Source organism: Homo sapiens, chromosome 10 (genome assembly GCF_000001405.40).
Source record: "Homo sapiens chromosome 10, GRCh38.p14 Primary Assembly".
NCBI classification, from domain to species: domain Eukaryota; kingdom Metazoa; phylum Chordata; class Mammalia; order Primates; family Hominidae; genus Homo; species Homo sapiens.
The window spans coordinates 13,327,025-13,345,132 of NC_000010.11; the positions used below are offsets into that span (position 1 = coordinate 13,327,025).

The following is an 18,108-nucleotide window of genomic DNA, read 5'->3' on the forward strand; positions in this document are numbered from 1 at the left end:
GTCAGGAGTTCGAGACCAGCCTGGCCAACATAGTGAAACCCTGTCTCTACCAAAAATACAAAAATCCGCCGGGCATGGTGATGATGCGTGCCTGTAGTCCCAGCTACTGGGAAGGCTGAGGCAACAGAACTGCTTGAACCTGGTAGGTAGCGGTTGCAGTGAGCCGAGATCACACCAATGGACTCCAGCCTGGGCGACAGAGTTAGATTCTGTCTCAAAAAAAAAAAAAAAAAAAAAAAAAAAGTTTACTAGGATACATAATATGGGAAACATTAGTCATGTCAAAACAACAAAAGCAGGCACTCCAAATACATATACTAACCATTACATAGTGAAAACTTATACTAACCACTACTTTAAAACAACAATAGTAAATCACCAGCCAAACATGAAAAAAAGTCCTGGAAGAATACATAAAAATGCTAGCCGGAGCTGTTTTGGGTGGAGGGACTATGGACAACTTTTTTCTGTACTATTTTCCATTTTCTAAAAACTTTTCTATAATAAGCATGTAATTCTTTTATAGTAGAAAAAATGTATAAAATAAATGGGAAGAGAAGACATATTAAAAAACGCTTTCTAAACATAGTGTGCCATTGTAAACTGTGGTGAACACTTTGGAAGACAGTTTGGCACTATCTATAAAAGCTGAGCCAGTACTGATCTCTTACACGTGCCTCAGAGGGCTGGGCCAAGGAAGTCCATAGCAGTCGCCCCAGTGTGAAACAGGAGAGCAGAGAAGCCAGTGGAAAAATCAACACAGCCAAAAGGAATCTACTACAGCTACATATAACAAGGAGACTCTCAGGAACAATGGTGAACAAAACAAGTAAAAAAAATGCAAAACTAATTTGCTGCTTAAGAACACAAGGGCTGTGCAATAAAAATATTCTAAAATGCAAGAAAATAAACACAAAATTCAGTGGTTACACCTAAGCAGGAATGCAGGGGATGGGTGGGAGTGGGGGCACTTCTAGACTTCCAAGGTTATGTTCTGGAAATAGCTCCAGTATCTTAAACTTTCTAAATTTCCATTCTGAATGGTTTGCTTCCAAATCTTACATAGGTAACCCACACAAACGCTTTCTAGAAATAGTTCCTCTGGTATGTCAGAAGTTAGGACTTCCTTCTTAATTATAAAGCACTGTAAGTCAGGGACCATCTGCAGTGATCTATGGAATGCCAACCTGGTACCAGGAGAAGACGGTCTGTAGTCACTGGCCAAAAATCTGGCCACCTACCCTGAGACAGTATGTGGCCAGAAAAGCCTAAGACATTTACTGTCTTGGACCCCTGGGACCGAAGCGCCCTTCCCACCTGTCATACCTGTCCTGTTGAGCCTCGCCATGTTCATCATCGCCTCCTGGTAGGCCAGCTCTACATCTTCTTGGGTGACCACTAGTTTAATCTTATTCCATTTCTCAGGCTGATAATAGAAATGTAGGTGAGGGAGAGAAAGAGAGGAAAATGTGATTAATCTTTACTTCTAGCAACTGAGAAAAACAGCAACTTTTTCTTATTTAACTTCTAGGGACTTTAATTCAGAAAACTGAATTTTCCAACTCTGGTTTTTCTGTGGATAGTATTTTAGGTGTCCATTAGACCTGTCAGCATGGCGTCTTTTCTGTTCTCATCCCACATTTCTGTAATTAAGTGCTGTGATTTATTGGGTATGTGTAGTCTAGCGGGACACACGGCGGCACTGCTGTACATGCAGTGTAGTGTCCTGCTAGTGGAGAAGGGCTCCCCCATCCGTGACACTCCCTGCCTCACCTGCTTCCAGCTCCCTGCTAGCTCAGGCCTGGGAGGTGGGGCTGGAAGGCACCTCTGCGCAACATCCCCGCAGTGGCCTTCTGCTCTGCTCCCCATCACAGGGGGAGGAGGGAAAAACTGCTAAAGAACGTGGCAGCCTTAGAGAATTTCTCTACCCTGCGACATCAAGCTAAGATATACCAGGTTGATGAAAGACGTGTAATTATTGATTATTCTCTTTCAACTGTTTCTCAGGACTGGTAGTTTCAGATGATAGTTGTAGAAATTAAATGCACCATGATATGTGAGAATATACCCCAATCTTATTAATTTGTGAGTTGTTACGGCAATGAAGAAAACCAATCTTAAAGTATGATTATAGCTCACTGGAAAAATGACTCACAAGACATATCCTCATTATAGATAGATTCATTCTGCACAAGAGAATTATTTATCAAAATGTTCTGAGTTACTCATCAGTTTAAAAAGACAAAACTACCAAACAAAAACAACCAAAAACTGCATAAAACAATTTAAACTGTCAATAACCCTGGTTTTATTTATACCCCAAACACTACGCCTTCCACCAATTCTCCTTCATATTATTTCTTAGTGATGTTTAAGACATGAAAGACGAAGCTATCTCAGGGCCAAGTAAACAAAGCTAACCCCCTGCCGAGCAAATTCTTTACAGAAAAATCTTAAAGCTCCAAGCTGGGGCTTACCTACTGCAATCAAGCATTCAATATGCAAAACTGTTATTTAAAGACTATGAACAATTCCTAGGATTTCTTTAAGGACTTGACTAATATTAACTCCCTGGATATGAAACTAAAAAACCTCATTTCCCAAATCCTCCAACAAAAATTACCTGCAAACGTACCATTCCCCTCCCTCCCATCACAGCAGTGGTTTACTCACGATATCCAGCCACTGGTGCACAGCCACTGCCACCTGTGTCCCCAGGGGTTTTGTCAGCACCAGCACGTCCCCTGGCACTGCATTGTCTGGCCTGAAGAAAAGAAAAGGGCATGTTCTAGTCAAACTAACCAAGGAGATGAGCTCATTGTTATTAACACAAGAGAAGGAATAATCTGTCAAAAATATATCTGCCTTTGCATTTACTTAAATTGAAGCCAACTACCAGCATGTATGGGACAGAGCCTTGCAACCTGCTACTGAGGCTATTGCTGGAACAAAACATTCAGCCATCAGGCTGGACACAGTGGCTCATTTCTGTAACCCCAGCACTTTGAGAGGTCAAGAGGGGAGGATCACTTGAGCCCAGGAGTTCAGGACCAGCCTGGGCAACACAACAAGGACCCCATTTCAAAAATAATATACATATTTTTAAAAAGAATGAAACATTTAGCCTTCAAACGTTTCATCAGGCCCAGATTTCCCCTCGACCACATACGAGTGTATGTGTAATTTTCACTACAGACCCACTAGCATTCAAAAGCTTCTGAAACAGAGAGTGCTTCTTTATGATCACTGATATGCTAGAGACTCAGGACGGATTTTTCGGCCCAGGGGTTTGGTGGATTTGCAGGCAATCTGTGGGTCTAATGTCTTGGTGATTTCTGCCTCCAGGTTCTCAAACTCAGACTGACTGATGGTGAGTTTCCTACCTGGCACCCAGACGCCTTGGTGGTCCCTGTCTTAGAGACAGAAGGCAATACTAAAAAGGCACCTCTAAAAGATGACAACTGGTGCCCGAATGAAACATCTACCAGACTTGCATTCACACTACCAGGAAGCAGGTCTGAGAGTTGTGCCTTTCGCAGCTTCAGCAGCTGAGCTCCTGAATCGTTCCATTCCCCGATGCTGGCCTCCTCAGGTACTCACCCAAGTCGATGAAAACAAAGCCAGGGCCACAGACTTCAATACCAACACCCAGCTCCCCAGCTCAACCTATACCATTTGTATCCACTCTCAGCTTTGAAAAATAGAATTCTGTGACTACGCAAGAAACTTGTTTTCCAAAAACCAGACCTGAAGACATAAATGTCTTCGAATTCAGACTCAGTTGTACCATAAAGTTGATGTTCTTTTTTTTTAAATTTTTTAAAATTATACTTTAAGTTCTAGGGTACATGTACACAACATGCAGGTTTGATACATAGGTATACATGTGCCATGTTGGTTTGCTGTACCCATCAACCCGTCCTTTACATTAGGTATATCTCCTAATGCTATCCCTCCCCCAGCCCCCTACCCCCGACAGGCCCTGGTGTGTGATGTTACCCGCCCTGTGTCCAAGTGTTCTCATTGTTCAACTCCCACCTATGAGTGAGAACATGCGGCGTTTGGTTTTCTGTCCTTTTGATAGTTTGCTTAGAATGATGGTTTCCAGCTTCATCCATCTCCCTGCAAAGTACATGAACTCATCCTTTTTTACGGCTGCGTAGTATTCCACGGTGTGTATGTGCCACATTTTCTTAATCCAGTCTATCATTGATGGACATTTGAGTTGGTTCCAAGTCTTAGCTATTGTGAATAGTGCTGCAATAAACATATGTGTGCATGCGTCTTTACAGCAGCATGATTTATAATCCTTTGGGTATATACCCAGTAATGGGATTGCTGGGTCAAATGGTATTTCTAATTCTAGATCTTTTTTTTTTGAAACTGAGTTTCACTCTGTCACCCAGGCTGGAGTACAGTGGCACGATCTTGGCTCACTGCAACCTCCGCCTCCTGGGTTCAAACCACTCTCCTCAGTCTCCTGAGTAGCTGGGATTACAGGCGCCTGCCATCGTGCCCGGCTAATTTTTTGTATTTTTAGTAGAGACAGGGTTTCACCATGTTGGCCAGGGTGGTCTTGAACTCCTGACCTCAGATGATCCACCCGTCTTGGCTTCCCAAAGTGCTGGGATTACAGGCATGAGCCACCACGCCCGGCCAAAAGACTGACTTTTCTTAACAAGACATCAAACATGGAAAGTGACAACTTGGTTAGGAGAGAAACTTCTCCAAAGAAGATACACAAATGGGTAGTAAGCACATGAAAAGATGCTCGGCCTCATCAGTCATCAGGCAGACACAAATCAAAACCACAAAGACATTCCACTTCACACCCAGTAGGCTGGCTAGAATCCAAAAGACAGACAGGAAAACAAGTACTGGAGGGGTCATAGAGAAATTGGAATCCTCATACATTGCTGCTGGGAACGTAAAATGGCGCAGCCATGTTGGAGACCAGTCTGATGATTCCTCAAGTTAAACATAATTACCACATGACCCAGTCAATTCTTAGGTATACACCCAAGAGACCGGAACTTATGTCCACACAAAAACTTAGAATGTTCATGGCAGCATCATTCCTAATAGGTGGAAACAACCCAAAGGTCCGTCACCTGAGGAATGGCTAAATAAAGCAGGGTCCATCCATGCAATGGATTATACAGCCATGGAAAGGAATGCGATACCGATTCATGCTACAACACGGATGGACCCGGAAAACATTCCGCTATGGGAGTGAAGCCAGACACAGCATGTCATGCTGCACGATTCCATTTCTATACAATGTCCAGAACAGGCAAATCCTTAGAGACAAAAGCACATTCTTGGTTGCCAGAGGATGGGAGCAGGAGGGAAATGGGAGTGAGCTACAGGGCTTCTTTTTGGGGTGATGAAAACATTCTGGAATTGGATAGTGGTGATGGGTGCACAACCTTGTCAATACTAAAAACCAACACATTGTGTACTTCAAAATGCTGAATTCTATGTTATGTGAAATTTTGTTACGTGAATTATACTTCAACTAAAAAACCTAAAATGTCAGCCGGGCGCGGTGGCTCACGCCTGTAATCCCAGCACTTTGGGAGGCTGAGGCGGTCGGATCATGAGATCAGGAGATCGAGACCATCCTGCCTAACATGGTGAAACCCCATCTCTACTAAAAATACAAAAAATTAGCCGGGCATGGTGGCAGGTGCCTGTAGTCCCAGCTACTCGGGAAGCTGAGGCAGGAGAATGGCATGAACCCGGGAGATGGAGCTTGCAGTGAGCCGAGATCATACCACTGCACTCCAGCCTGGGCGACGGAGTAAGACTCCGTCTCAAAAAAAAAAAACAAAAACACCTAAAATGTCTTAAAAATAGGATTAAAATACTGACACATGCTACAAAATAGATGACCCTTAAAAGTATGCTAATACTATGCTAAGTGACAAAATCCAGGATGGAGCAGGAGTGAACAGTGAGAGCCGAGGAGGATGGGGTTTCTTCCTGTAGCAATGAAAACATCCTAACATCAACTCCGGTAATGGCTGTACAACTCTGAGTATACTCCAAACCACTGACTCTTTAAATGGGTGAATGGTATAGTACGCAAATTATATCTTAATACATCTATTTTTTTTTTTTTTTGAGATGGAGTTTCGCTCTTGTTGCCCAGGCTGGAGTGCAGTGGCGCGATCTTGGCTCACTGCAGCCGCAGCCTCCTGGGTTCAAGTGATTCTCCTGCCTCAGCCTCCCAAGTAGCTGGGATTACAGGCATGTACCATCATGCCTGGCTAATTGTGTATTTTTAGTAGAGATGGGGTTTCTCCATGTTGGTCAGGCTGGTCTCAAACTCCCAACCTCAGGTGATCCACCCGCCTTGGCCTCCAAAAGCGCTGGGATTACAGGCATGAGCAACCGCGCCCAGCCTTGCGTTCTTGTCTTTTTTTTTTTTGGAGACAGAATCTTGTTCTGTTGCCCAGGCTAGAGTGCAGGGGCATGATCTCAGCTCACTGCAACCTCCACCCCTGGGGTTCAAGCGATTCTCCTGCCTCAGCCTCCAGAGTAGCTGAAACTACAGGCTTGCCCCACCATGCCTGGCTAATTTTTGTATTTTTAGTAGAGACAGGGTTTCGCCACATTGGCCAGGCTGGTCTCAAACTCCTGACCTCAGGTGATCTGCCCGCCTCGGCCTACCAAAGTCTGGGATCATATGTGTGAGCCACTGCACCTGACCTTAATACATCAATTTTTAAAAAGAGAGGACAGAGAGAGAAAAACAGGTCAGGTGATATGAAACAAAAATCAACTTACATGATAAATTCATTGGGTTGGCAGACAGTGGTAGCCACTCCTCCCAGGACAATCCAGGGGTTTAGTACTGTTTGGCCGCCTGTTACAGATGTTCCTGCTTCCTCAGCTGCGTCTTTAAAACCTTGGATAATCAGAGGCATCACTTTATCCCTTTCCTAAGGTTGAAAAAGGTACAAATAAAAAGTCAAAGAATTCTGTTCAAAACCCAGAAAAGAAGGTTTTTACACTTACAGTTATAAAAAGAACCATAAAATCCTAAAGGAAGTCCTCAAAGTTTACAGACAGGGAAGGTTGTTAGGGGCCAGGCATAATCGCTCACGCCTGTAATCCCAGCACTTTGGGAGTCCGAGGTGGGCAGAGAGCTTGAGCCCAGGAGTTTAAGACCAGTCTGGGCAATGCAGACAGACCCCTTTCTCTACGAAACATGTAAAAATTGCTGGGTGACCGGGCACAGTGGCTCATGCCTGTATTCCCAGCACTTTGGGAGGCTGAGGCGGGCAGATCACCTGAGGTCAGGAGTTTGAGACCAGCCTGGCCAACATGGTGAAACCCCGTCTCTACTAAAAATACAAAAATTAGCCGGGTGTGGTAGCATGCGCCTGTAATCCCAGCTACTTGGGAGGCTGAGGCAGGAGAATCGCTTGAACCTGGGAGGCAGAGGTTGTAGTTAGCCAAGATCGCATCACTGCACTCCAGCCCTGGGCACAAGAGTGAGACTTCATCTCAAAAACAAAAAAAAAAAATATTGCTTGGTGTGGTGGCATGTGCCTGTGGTCCCAGCTATTCCGGAGGCTGAAGTGGGAGGATGTCTTGAGCCCGGGAGGCTGAGGCTGCTGCAGTGAGCTCTCATCACACCACTGCACTCCAACCTGGGCAACACAGGGAGATCTTGTCTCAAAAACAAACAAAAACAAAAGCTAGAAAATATTTCACATTGTCATCATTTTATCCAATGCTGGAAGATGTTCTAGACAACAATGTAAATAAAGCCCAGACACCAACATTGTCTGGACTCAGTGCACAGGACCAGCCCTAGGTCTGATGACTGCTGGAAGCCAGCTGTCCAGTGCTCCTTGAGAATCTCAAGACTGGCTTCCTAAGCACAGGTCCCCTGCCCTGCAGTAGGCATCCATCCTACCAAGGCTTGGCTGCAGGCTACGAGTAACCCACACTGACAGAGCCTGCGCCAAGACCACCATGCACCACTGATGACTACAGCCCATGTTCAAGGGCAGGAAAGAGCCTACTGGAAACTCAAGTTTCTCTAAGGCAGGGCAAACTGTTGGGGGCTCTTGGGACAAAAACAAGTACCTGTCTATCTAAATAGGAATTCATCTCTGGTTCAAAGAACAGGTTCAGGCAGCAAGGGCACAGAATGCTAGGCGATGACACAGAGGCGTGAGCCCCTGGTGGCCCTATCCCCCGTCACCATCTACGTCCACGACATCCCCAGCCACAGCAGAGGGAGTGCCCTCTAAGTGCCACGTGTCCCACATCTGTAAGGCTGTGCCTGATTCACACTGAGGCACCATTACTATGGCCAAAACTTTATTTTAAAAAATGCACAGGTCGGGCACGGTGGCTCATGCCTATAATCCCAGCACTTTGGGAGGCCGAAGTGGGTGGATCACGAGCTCAGGAGTTCGAGACCAGCCTGACCAACATGGTGAAACCCCATCTCTACTGAAAATATAAAAATTAGCTGGGGGTGCTGGTGTGCCCCTGTAATCCCAGCTACTTGGGAGGCTGAGGCAGGAGAATCGCTTGAACCTGGGAGGTGGAGGTTGCAGTGAGCTGAGCTTGTGCCACTACACTCTAGCCTGGGTGACAGAGTGAGACTCTGTCTCAATAAAACAAAAAAAAATATACACAAATGCCTTGGGCCGGGCACGGTGTTTCACGCCTGCAATCCCAGCACTTTGGGATGCCGAGATAGGTGGATTACCTGAGGTCAGGAGTTCAGGAACAGCCTGGCCAACGTGATAAAACCCCGTCTCTAATAAAAATACACAAAATAGCCAGGTGTGGTGGTACGTGCCTGTAATCCCAGCTACTTGGGAGGCTGAGGCAGGAGAATTGTTTGAACCCGGGAGGCGGAGGTTGCAGTGGACTGAGATTGCGCCACTACACTCCAGCCTGGGCGACAGAGTGAGACTCCTGTCTCAAAAAAAAAAAAAAAAAAAGTCTTGGTTTCAGTCTACTGGGAAGAGAGAAAGGGAGCAGGTGGCAGAAGTGCAGAGATGACTAGGCCAGGCTTCCTCATTTTAATTTACTGGTAACTGCCAAAAAGTGGAGAGCCAGAAGGAGTGCAGGGAGCCATATGGCCTGGGCTCCTCGCTTTCTAGATGGGAAACCAAGTCTAACCAAGGCCAGAGATGCCACCGGGACAACACGGACCAGGCAGCAGCCGGGTAGCTCCTACTTACCCTGTCGGTCATTTTATTACTGACTCCAAGGAGCATCAGCATATTGTCACATTCCGTGACCCCCATTGCATAGAGGTCACTGAGGACATTGGCACACGCTATCCTGCCCTGGGAAGAGAGGGAAACATGAGAAAGGACGACCGGGGACTTTCCATCTGCAGAAACTGAGTGAGCCATGGAGTGGACTCCACAGAGAACGTGGAGACTTTCCAGGAGTAGCAGCTACTAGGATGGGGTCCTCAGTTTCTATGATTTGCAGACTGGCAACCTTTCCTGCATCACAGAGTCACTAGGCCATTCGTTTTTTCTCAGACATTCCTGTTACCACCTCTTTCTTGTGCAGGACAAAGAATGTACCAGTTTTTCTCCATTCTAAATTTTAGAAGTCTGCAATTTATTTAGATAGGGGAAGGGGTATATGTGCAGCGAATGAGGAGGAGAAGCAAGTTTAGAACCGACAGTCTTGGGGGAAGAGCTATGGAGCGAAAAAGCCTGCAAACAACTCTCCTAAAGAAAAGTTGGAAACAGCCACATATCCCAAACAGATTCTAAAAATGGCTGGCTTTAGTGGTTATAGAGATGGAGATAGTCTTTGTGCACTTGGATTAAGAAATGTTTGCAGCTTAGGCTGGGTGTGATAGCTCACGCCTGTAATCCCAGCAATTTGAGAGGCCGAATCAGGTGGATCACTTGAGGCCAGGAGTTAAAGACCAGCCTGGCCAACATGGTAAAATGCTGTTTCTACTAAAAATATAAAAATTAGCTGGGCATGGTGGTGCACACCTGTAGTCTCAGCTACTTGGGAGCCTGAGGCATGAGAATTGCTTGAACCTGGGAGGTGGAGGTTGCAGTAAGCTGAGATCGTGCCACTGCACTCTAGCCTGGGCAACAGAGCAAGACTGTCAATAAACAACAACAAAAAAAAAACAAAAAAAATTTTTGTAGCTTCTTTTCAAGGATGTATGAGATAAACAGAAAAATCATCTTAAGAAACAAATAAAAAAATACCCAGGGCTGAAGTCATATTGTTTTCAAAAGAAAAAGAAGCATTTCCCAGTAAATGATGTCATTTTATTAGGAACTTTAAAATACAATTCAACAGAAATGTGGTAATGAAGATTTTTTTATTGCCACTGGAGATTTTTAAAAGTTAAGTTGCCCTTATCTAAATTTTTATCTTTTATAGACAATAAAGAGAAAATACAAATTTTCCTTCTGACATAAGGATAATCAAACTCCCAAGTGTTATCACTTCCAGTGGCTGTTTAATTGCTTGCTTTAGGCTTTCTTATACATTCCTGGAGGTCAGCAATGCAGCTCAACAACCATCTGTGGCCACACTTTCAGTATCATCAAGCCAGTCCACAAGGCCAACAGGTGGTCTACAACTCGCACAAGCCAATCGCTAGTTAGGGGGGTGGTGATTTAGCGCCCCTTCTGTTCTGGGTGCTCTCATTTTAGGAGATGCTGGAAAACAATGGACTGTGGTTTTAGCCATCCCTGCCACCTGGTCATGTGGGACCTGGGCTGTGGCTTACCTGCCCAGTCTCAAGAGTATTGCTCCAGAGGAGAAAACGGACAGATGTGCGGAAGAAATATAGGTTTCCAATAATCTGGTATTTGTCACTGGTACCTGAGGGTGAACACCCCCCACGTGGCTGCCTCATGATAAAGTCCCTACAGTGCAGCCTGATCCCACTGTCCTTGCCACACACGAAGAACACCTGGCATTTTATAGCAAACCAGATTTTCCTAGTCTCTCCACTGGCTCCTCCTGGGTGGTAGCAAATTGGGGTTAAAGGTTGGGTGGATCAAAGGGTGGCTGGCTGCAACTACGCAGTAAACAACTGGGGAACACACCTCAGCAGTGTATCATCAGTAGCCAGGAACTTTAACTCAGTGGTCAGAAACCTACTATGTACAGCGGCACATCACACGGTGGTGGGTGTGCAAGTGGCTGGGTTGAGTGAATTAACCAGATATCCGAATTAATGTTTGAGGCATCTAATTGTGATGAGATACTAGCTCCTTAATCTCTTGAAGGAAACATTTAGGATCAGTCCTATTACAGAGGACAGTAACATCTCCAGCCTAAAACACAGGGGTGATGGAGGTTACCAATGTCAAAGAAGAGAAGGTGCAAGAAAGAAGAAAATGACAAAAACAGGCCATTGACATGCTACTAAACAAGAGGTGTTCTTACTCACAGCATGTACTCAGTTGCAACAGCAGCAGAGGGCCTTCCCTGCTTCCTCCCTAATTGCTTTATGCCCAGTGCCAAGTGTGGGCAGGGGACAGGCCTGACTTCAGCAACTGCAGGAGTCTGGGCAGGGTGGGGCAGTATAGTCGGGATATAACAGAAATAAAACCAAAACCCCACAGATACATACAAAACCCCAGCCACAACCCAAACCAAACAAATAAGCCCTTCCAGTCACAAAAACACATCGGCTCACGCTTACCATCATGTAAGGGTCGTCTACGATCGGGTAAATGTAATCTGTGGTTTGAACCAAGGAAAGCCCACCGTGCCTCAAAGGAATGACACAAGTATCCATTCCAATGCCTGTGGAGATGGAAGTCATTAGCATCCAAAAATAAAACGGGAAAGCCATTTCATTTTATATCACCAGTGCTCTGAACAGGAAGAGCTCATAAGATACTTATGGAAACTGCAGGCTGCCAATGAAGCCATGTGTTTCCTATCAAGAAGCGTAACTGAAATAAACGTGAAACATATCCAGCTTAGGATGGAAAATACCAATGAAAATGTTACTCATCAAGACTCAACTCCAATATGGCATAGTTTTAATCCTTAATGATGCCTTGAATAAAAATCTTTTTCACTGTATGACTTTTATTATTTTACTGTATTACTGTAGCGTGTGACTGGTACCGTATACAATTTCTTTGAAGATGAGAATCCTATAAATGGAACTTGGGTTATCTTAAGTATAGTTATTGTGCGTACATCTTTACAGACATTATCGTATTGTCCCATCAGAAACCATGTAAAATATTTTTACATTGAAAAATGCTATTATTACTTATACATTTTAGTCAAAAGTGAAAATGACACACACACAGATGAAATGAAAGGACAAATCCCAATCTACAATTCAATGGAAATTTCCAATCAAGCCTGGATATAAACACTCTGGCATCTATGTCAGAGGAGTCCCAAGACCACCAGTAGTAGTCAAGATACGCTACTCCTTGTCTTGGAGATAAGGCTGTACTCCTTTAAAAATTACTTGTAATGCAGGCATTTTACAAACTCAGACTAGCATTCCCACCAAGAAAGCTGAACACAGTGAGCAGCCCTACACCCCTCAGAAGGACACTCTTCTGTCCTCTTATGAGGACAGCTGTTCCTTGGTATCTGTGGGGGACTGGTTCCAGGACTCCCACAGACACCAACATCCACAGATGCTCAAATCCCTGATTTGAAATGTCCCAATATTTGCATATAACCTACACACATCTTCTCACATACCTTAAATCATCTCTAGATCACCTATGACACCCAATACGATGTGAATGCGATGTAAATATTTGTTATGCTGTACTGTTTAGGGAATAATGACAAGACAAAAAAAAGTCTGTGCATGTTGAGATGCAACCATCCACTTCTTTCCCTGCATATTTTCAGTCTGTGGTTGGTTGAATCCCCCACGAGGATTCTGCAGATACAGAGGGGGATGCTGTACTTCTACTTTGCAGCCCAATAGCCAAAAGCAGGGAAAAAGCCAGAATTAGGACAAAAGGAAGCAAATTATGTGCCTGAATCTACCCTATAAATTCAGAATTTCAAACAAGTTTAAATCATATCTGAATCGCACTAAAACGACCTTTAATATTCTGCGTAAGTGAAAGGGCCGTGAAGCACTGCCTCACTCGGTCTCATGACAGCAGCAGACCTCACAGAGGCGGGTCATGGAGGCACCAGATCTTTCCTGCTGCAAAAATGAAATCTCACTCAATAAAAAGCCATAGTCTGTGAAGACAGGCTGATTTTTATCACACTAGATAACAAAGCAGAAACTCTTGCTGGAAGACCTCGCTTAGGGAATGGAGAAGTGAAGTTCAGAATGGCAAGTTTCAACAATGTCAGGCACTGGATCAGTTTTCATCTGTCAGAGGAGAACGTGTGAGATAATTCACGTAAACAGCCCATGGGCACAACCTCTCAGAAATTTGTTTCATCACACTCTTTAGCACCTAAATAGAAATACCACTCTTTAACTCAATGGATTCTCCCTAAATGGATAATTCTGACAACTGGTTATTCTGAGTATATTATTATTCACTTTGGAAAACAGTAAGAGGCAGTTTTCTTTCAGGCTTCCATTTAAACTGGAGGACTACTGAAAGAGAAACTAAAATTGTTGCTGAATGTTAGCTTTAAATGTTCTTAATTTGAATAATCTTAAATTTGAATTACATACATTTGATTTGTAAAGCGCTTTATTTCTAAACTTAGCAAGTCCTTTGATCAGAGTAACGGGGGATTCTTGAGCACGCCCCTAGGGCTGAAAAGCAGCTCCGTTATCCACGGTTTCTCTTTCACACCTGTGCCACCACAGTCTACTAGAATAGGGTCTGGTGCTGTCCAATGTGGTTGACACTAGACACAGGGGGTGGCTGCGCATCTGACAAACAGGTGCTGTAAGTACAAAACAGACAACTGATTTTAAACACCTAGTACCAAAAACCAACATCTCATTAATAATGTCGTATATATACATACTGAAAAGACATTTTTATATATTGTGTTAAATAAAATAGATTATAATTAATTCCACCTGATTTTTGTTATCGGGTTTTTAAAAATATTACTTTGAATTTGAAAATTACGCATGTGGCTTGCATTGTATTTTTGGACAGCACTGGTCTACAGTGATTGGTTTAGAAATCACCAATCACATTTCAAGGAAGGAAGAGAGAAGGGGTGAGCCTGAGATGCCCACAGGCCTTGAAAAACTAGCGTTTGAAATGGAAAGACAGAGGGACGGTCCAGAGGGATGGTAACTGGGAACAGAGGAAAATGCCACAGGGTCGGGGAAGCCTTAAATACTAGACAGAACAGTTTAGGTTTAATGACCAGGAGGCAATGGGCAAACTTGCTGGAAGGTTTTCAGCAATACTGACATCCTCCATCAGAAAGACAACCTAAGTTATCACACCACTACCCACCCCCAACCCCTGCACCGCCCCCGCCAGCAGCAGCAATCATTACTTGATAGCTCCTAGGCACCAGGCAACAAATGTCTCTGGTTCTAAGGCACACTTCTTTTACCATTTCTTTAATTAGGATACATTTAGTAATCGTGTGTACATTTAAAAGCTGTTTTGGTTAACCCTTCAATTAACACCATTTTTGAAGCCAGAAAACATGACATTCAATTAGAAAAAAGTTAAAAACATAAACAGGCCGGGCGCGGGGGCTCATGCCTTTAATCCCAGCACTTTGGGAGGCCGAGGTGGGCAGATCACTTAGAGTCAGGAGTTCCAGACCAGCCTGACCAACATAGTGAAACCCTAACTCTATTAAAAATACAAAAAAATTAGCTGGGTGTGGTGGTGCACGTCTGTCATTCCAGCTACTTGGAGGGAGGCTGAGGCATGAGAATCAGGCCTGGGAGGGCCTTGAACCCGGGAGGCAGAGGTTGCAGTGAGCTGAGATTGCACCACTGTACTCAAGCCTGGGTGATGGAGTGAGACTCTATCTCAAGGAAAAAAAAAAAAAAAAGATGGCGGGGCGCGGTGTCTCACGCCTGTAATCCCAGCACTTTGGGAGGCCGAGGCAGGCGGATCACGAGGTCAGGAGATCGAGACCACTGTGAAACCCCGTCTCTACTAAAAATACAAAAAATTAGCCAGGCATGGTGGCGGGCGCCTGTAGTCCCAGCTACTCGGGAGGCTGAGGCAGGAGGATGGCGTGAACCTGGGAGGCGGAGCTTGCAATGAGCGGAGATCGCGCCACTGCACTCCAGCCTGGGCGACAGAGCGAGACTCCGTCTCAAAAAAAAAAAAAGTTAAAAAAATAAACATACAGCCGGGTGCGGTGGCTCACGCCTGTAATCCCAGCACTTTGGGAGGCTGAGGTGGGTGGATAACCTGAGCTCAGGAGCTTGAGACCAGCCTGGCCAACACCTTGAAACCCCGTCTCTACTAAAAACACAAAAAAATTTAGCTGGGTGTGGTGGCATGCGCCTGTAGTCCCAGCTACTTGGGAGGCAGAGGCAGGAGATCACTGCTTGAACCTGGGAAGCGGAGGTTGCAGTGAGCTGAGATTGTGCCACTGCACTCCAGCCTGGGCGACACAGTGAGACTTCATCTCAACAACAACAAAAAAAAGGTCAAAAACACCCATACATATATACCATATATACTTGTGTACAGAGGGTATACACATACATGTATTATATATGTAAGTACAGACATACATGGCACACCTACACACATTTTTGGTACAACAATGCAAAACAGTAATCTTTTTTTTTTTTTTGAGGCAGGGTCTCACTCTGTCTCCCAGGCCGCAGTACAGTGGTGTGACCTCAGCTCACTGTAGCCTCTGCCTCCCGGGCTCAAGGGATCCTCCCACCTCAGCCTCCCGAGTAGCTGAAACTACAGGTGTACACCAGCAAGCCCAGGTAACTTTTGTATTTTTAGTAGAGATGGGTTTCACCATTTTGCCCAGGCTGGTCTTGAACTCCTGACCTTGAGTGATCTGCCCATCTTGACCTCCCAAAGTGCTGGGATTACAGGTGTGAGCCACCGCACCCAACCCCAAACAGTAATTATTATTTTATAGATTAGGAAGCTGAGGCTCAGGAGGGCTGGGTGACATTCATGACATAATATGAGTGACTAGTAAGTAACTGTGCCAGAGGAAGTTATAAATAGTAATTCTTACTTTATGCCGTAATGTTTTAATTTCATTGGTTTTTGAGCATTAAGTATTAATAGCTTTTTTTCTTGACAGTTATCTAACAGCTTCCTCAGTATATTCTCATTTCTCGACAAATAAGCCAACATCAAACCCAGCTCGCTCACATGGTATTTCTCCACAGCTTGGCCATCAGCTGGACGGCAGGAACTGTTTTCAAACTGAGCTCCTCAAAGTCCTGCAGGTCACCAGCGACTGGGGTGTAACATTTCTTCCTTTCCAACAAAAGCAAGTCTGCTTTTATCTGCTTTCTCTATCTGGGAGTAAAGGAGACCCCAGGCTCATAACCAATGAACCTTACCAAATAATGGGCAAAAACAAATGAAATGAAAACCTTGGCTGGGTGTGGTGGCTTACACCTGTAATCCCAGCACTTTGGGAGGCTGAGGCAGGCAGATCACCTGAGGTCAGGAGTTCGAGAACAGCCTGGCCAACATGGTAAAACTCCCATCTCTACTAAAAATACAAAAATTAGCCGGGCATGTGGCAGGGGCCTATAATCCCAGCTACTCAAGAGGCTGAGGCAGAAGAATCGCATGAACCCAGGAGGCAGAGGTTGCAGTGAGCCAAGATCACGCCACTGCACTCCAGCCTGGGTGACAGAGTGAGAATCCATTTCAAAAAAAAAGGAAGAAAACTGATCAAGTCACACAGTAATTATCGAACATCCAAACCTCCGAAACTATGCGTCGAACACAAGAAAAGTGATCACAGTCTTGTACTGTGTACTTAATAAACTGCACAAGAAACATGAATAAACAATATCCCAGGAGCCCAGAATTTGTTTCTAAGCTCTGTGTTTGGGAAAAGTGAAATCACTCATGACATCAGGAATGTAGTAAAGAAAAAGACATTGCCCTGGTTCCAGATGACATCCTGGGGTCAAGAACAGATCCATCCAGTCCTGGGTCTGGAGCAGTCCCACCTCCTCACCGTAACACGCTTTTCGCCCGATGCACCCTGCAGAGAACCCCAATGCCCTCCTGACACAGTCACTGCCATCCAAGTACAGCACAAGAACCCTAAGGCTGGAACCGCCTTTCCTAGGGCAATGAAGGGAATGTGAGCATTTTAGGAGTCCTTTTAGGAAAAGGGAATAAAGTATTTCTGCTTAATCTTCAGCTAACAGAAAATTCAATTCAATTAAATTGAAAATAAAAATTAAAAAGTTTTTACTGTAATAACAATCTCAATTGCATACTCCATGATTTAAAAACTGTCAAGAGTACCCCTCTTGATGCGTTTCAAGTACTTTCTCTACATAAGTTACAAGAACATAACATAGCAATCATAACATTGATTGCTCTTCTAATCCTTCCCACAAAAATTAAAAAAAAATAAAGGGGGTACGATGTACACTATTTGGGTGATGGCTACACTAAAAGCCTAGTCTTCACCATTATGTAATATATTCATGTAACAAAACTGCATGTGTATTCCTCAAATCTATAAAAGCAAAAAAAGTAATAATAAAAAATAAATAGGCAACATGGGAGGCGAGAAATCCAGTTTTTGACTCACTGATTGGATCGCAGACCATCAAAGAAACACTGGGTTACCTACCAAGCCTTGGCATAACGGCTCCCAGAAACTGCTCATCTTCTTGGAAGTGGTTCTCCTGTAAAGATTCCAGCAATTTTTGCAGGACATCTTGGGGCACTTTGCAGCCTGTGCCCTTCAGTTCAGTGAATCTGGTTAGCCGGAAGCTTTTGTCCAATTCGTAACTTTCCGGGTTAAAGGACTCCCGCGTAGACATGGTTCTTGGGCCCCGCTCTCCTCACAGCTCAGCCCCTCCCCTCCCTCTGCGGGTTGGCTGGGTTCTTTATGGATCCACCTGGGTGTCACCAAAACACAAAGATGCCATGAAAAGAATTCCCACTGGGACCTGCCAGCGAATCAAGTGAATACATGACAGCGAAAAGTCAATGTGACAAGGGC

The 18,108-nt window shown here is 44.6% G+C and overlaps 1 protein-coding gene across 8 annotated transcripts in view, besides 5 other annotated features; it reads right to left on the bottom strand.

Annotated features, from left to right (window-relative positions):
• Window positions 1-18,108, bottom strand: part of SEPHS1 (selenophosphate synthetase 1) — a 30,866-nt gene that overhangs the window by 9,597 nt on the left and 3,161 nt on the right. For 5 of the 8 annotated variants that reach the window (NM_001195604.2, NM_001375769.1, NM_012247.5 and 2 more), the window contains exons 2-7: window positions 17,734-18,004; window positions 11,681-11,784; window positions 9,219-9,326; window positions 6,793-6,947; window positions 2,674-2,764; window positions 1,327-1,426 (exon numbers count right to left, since the gene is read on the bottom strand). In NM_001195604.2, coding sequence (NP_001182533.1) covers window positions 1,327-1,426; window positions 2,674-2,764; window positions 6,793-6,947; window positions 9,219-9,326; window positions 11,681-11,784; window positions 17,734-17,926 — 751 coding nt within the window. In that variant the 5' untranslated portion in view covers window positions 17,927-18,004. Of the gene's footprint in view, window positions 1-1,326; window positions 1,427-2,673; window positions 2,765-6,792; window positions 6,948-9,218; window positions 9,327-11,680; window positions 11,785-13,666; window positions 13,885-17,733; window positions 18,005-18,108 lie in introns of all 8 variants that reach the window. The other 3 variants (XM_047424841.1, NM_001195602.2, NR_164738.1) reach the window with 2 other exon arrangements.
• Window positions 2,396-2,896: an enhancer, noted in NCBI's record as "H3K27ac hESC enhancer chr10:13371420-13371920 (GRCh37/hg19 assembly coordinates)". NCBI's record gives its function as "activates a minimal SCP1, AML or CMV promoter by ChIP-STARR-seq in primed H9 embryonic stem cells {active_cell/tissue: H9 hESC(primed)}" and the evidence as "EXISTENCE:reporter gene assay evidence [ECO:0000049][PMID:30033119]".
• Window positions 2,897-3,397: an enhancer, noted in NCBI's record as "H3K27ac hESC enhancer chr10:13371921-13372421 (GRCh37/hg19 assembly coordinates)". NCBI's record gives its function as "activates a minimal SCP1, AML or CMV promoter by ChIP-STARR-seq in primed H9 embryonic stem cells {active_cell/tissue: H9 hESC(primed)}" and the evidence as "EXISTENCE:reporter gene assay evidence [ECO:0000049][PMID:30033119]".
• Window positions 7,759-8,260: an enhancer, noted in NCBI's record as "H3K27ac hESC enhancer chr10:13376783-13377284 (GRCh37/hg19 assembly coordinates)". NCBI's record gives its function as "activates a minimal SCP1, AML or CMV promoter by ChIP-STARR-seq in primed H9 embryonic stem cells {active_cell/tissue: H9 hESC(primed)}" and the evidence as "EXISTENCE:reporter gene assay evidence [ECO:0000049][PMID:30033119]".
• Window positions 8,261-8,760: an enhancer, noted in NCBI's record as "H3K27ac hESC enhancer chr10:13377285-13377784 (GRCh37/hg19 assembly coordinates)". NCBI's record gives its function as "activates a minimal SCP1, AML or CMV promoter by ChIP-STARR-seq in primed H9 embryonic stem cells {active_cell/tissue: H9 hESC(primed)}" and the evidence as "EXISTENCE:reporter gene assay evidence [ECO:0000049][PMID:30033119]".
• Window positions 14,593-15,445: an enhancer, noted in NCBI's record as "H3K4me1 hESC enhancer chr10:13383617-13384469 (GRCh37/hg19 assembly coordinates)". NCBI's record gives its function as "activates a minimal SCP1, AML or CMV promoter by ChIP-STARR-seq in naive H9 embryonic stem cells {active_cell/tissue: H9 hESC(naive)}" and the evidence as "EXISTENCE:reporter gene assay evidence [ECO:0000049][PMID:30033119]".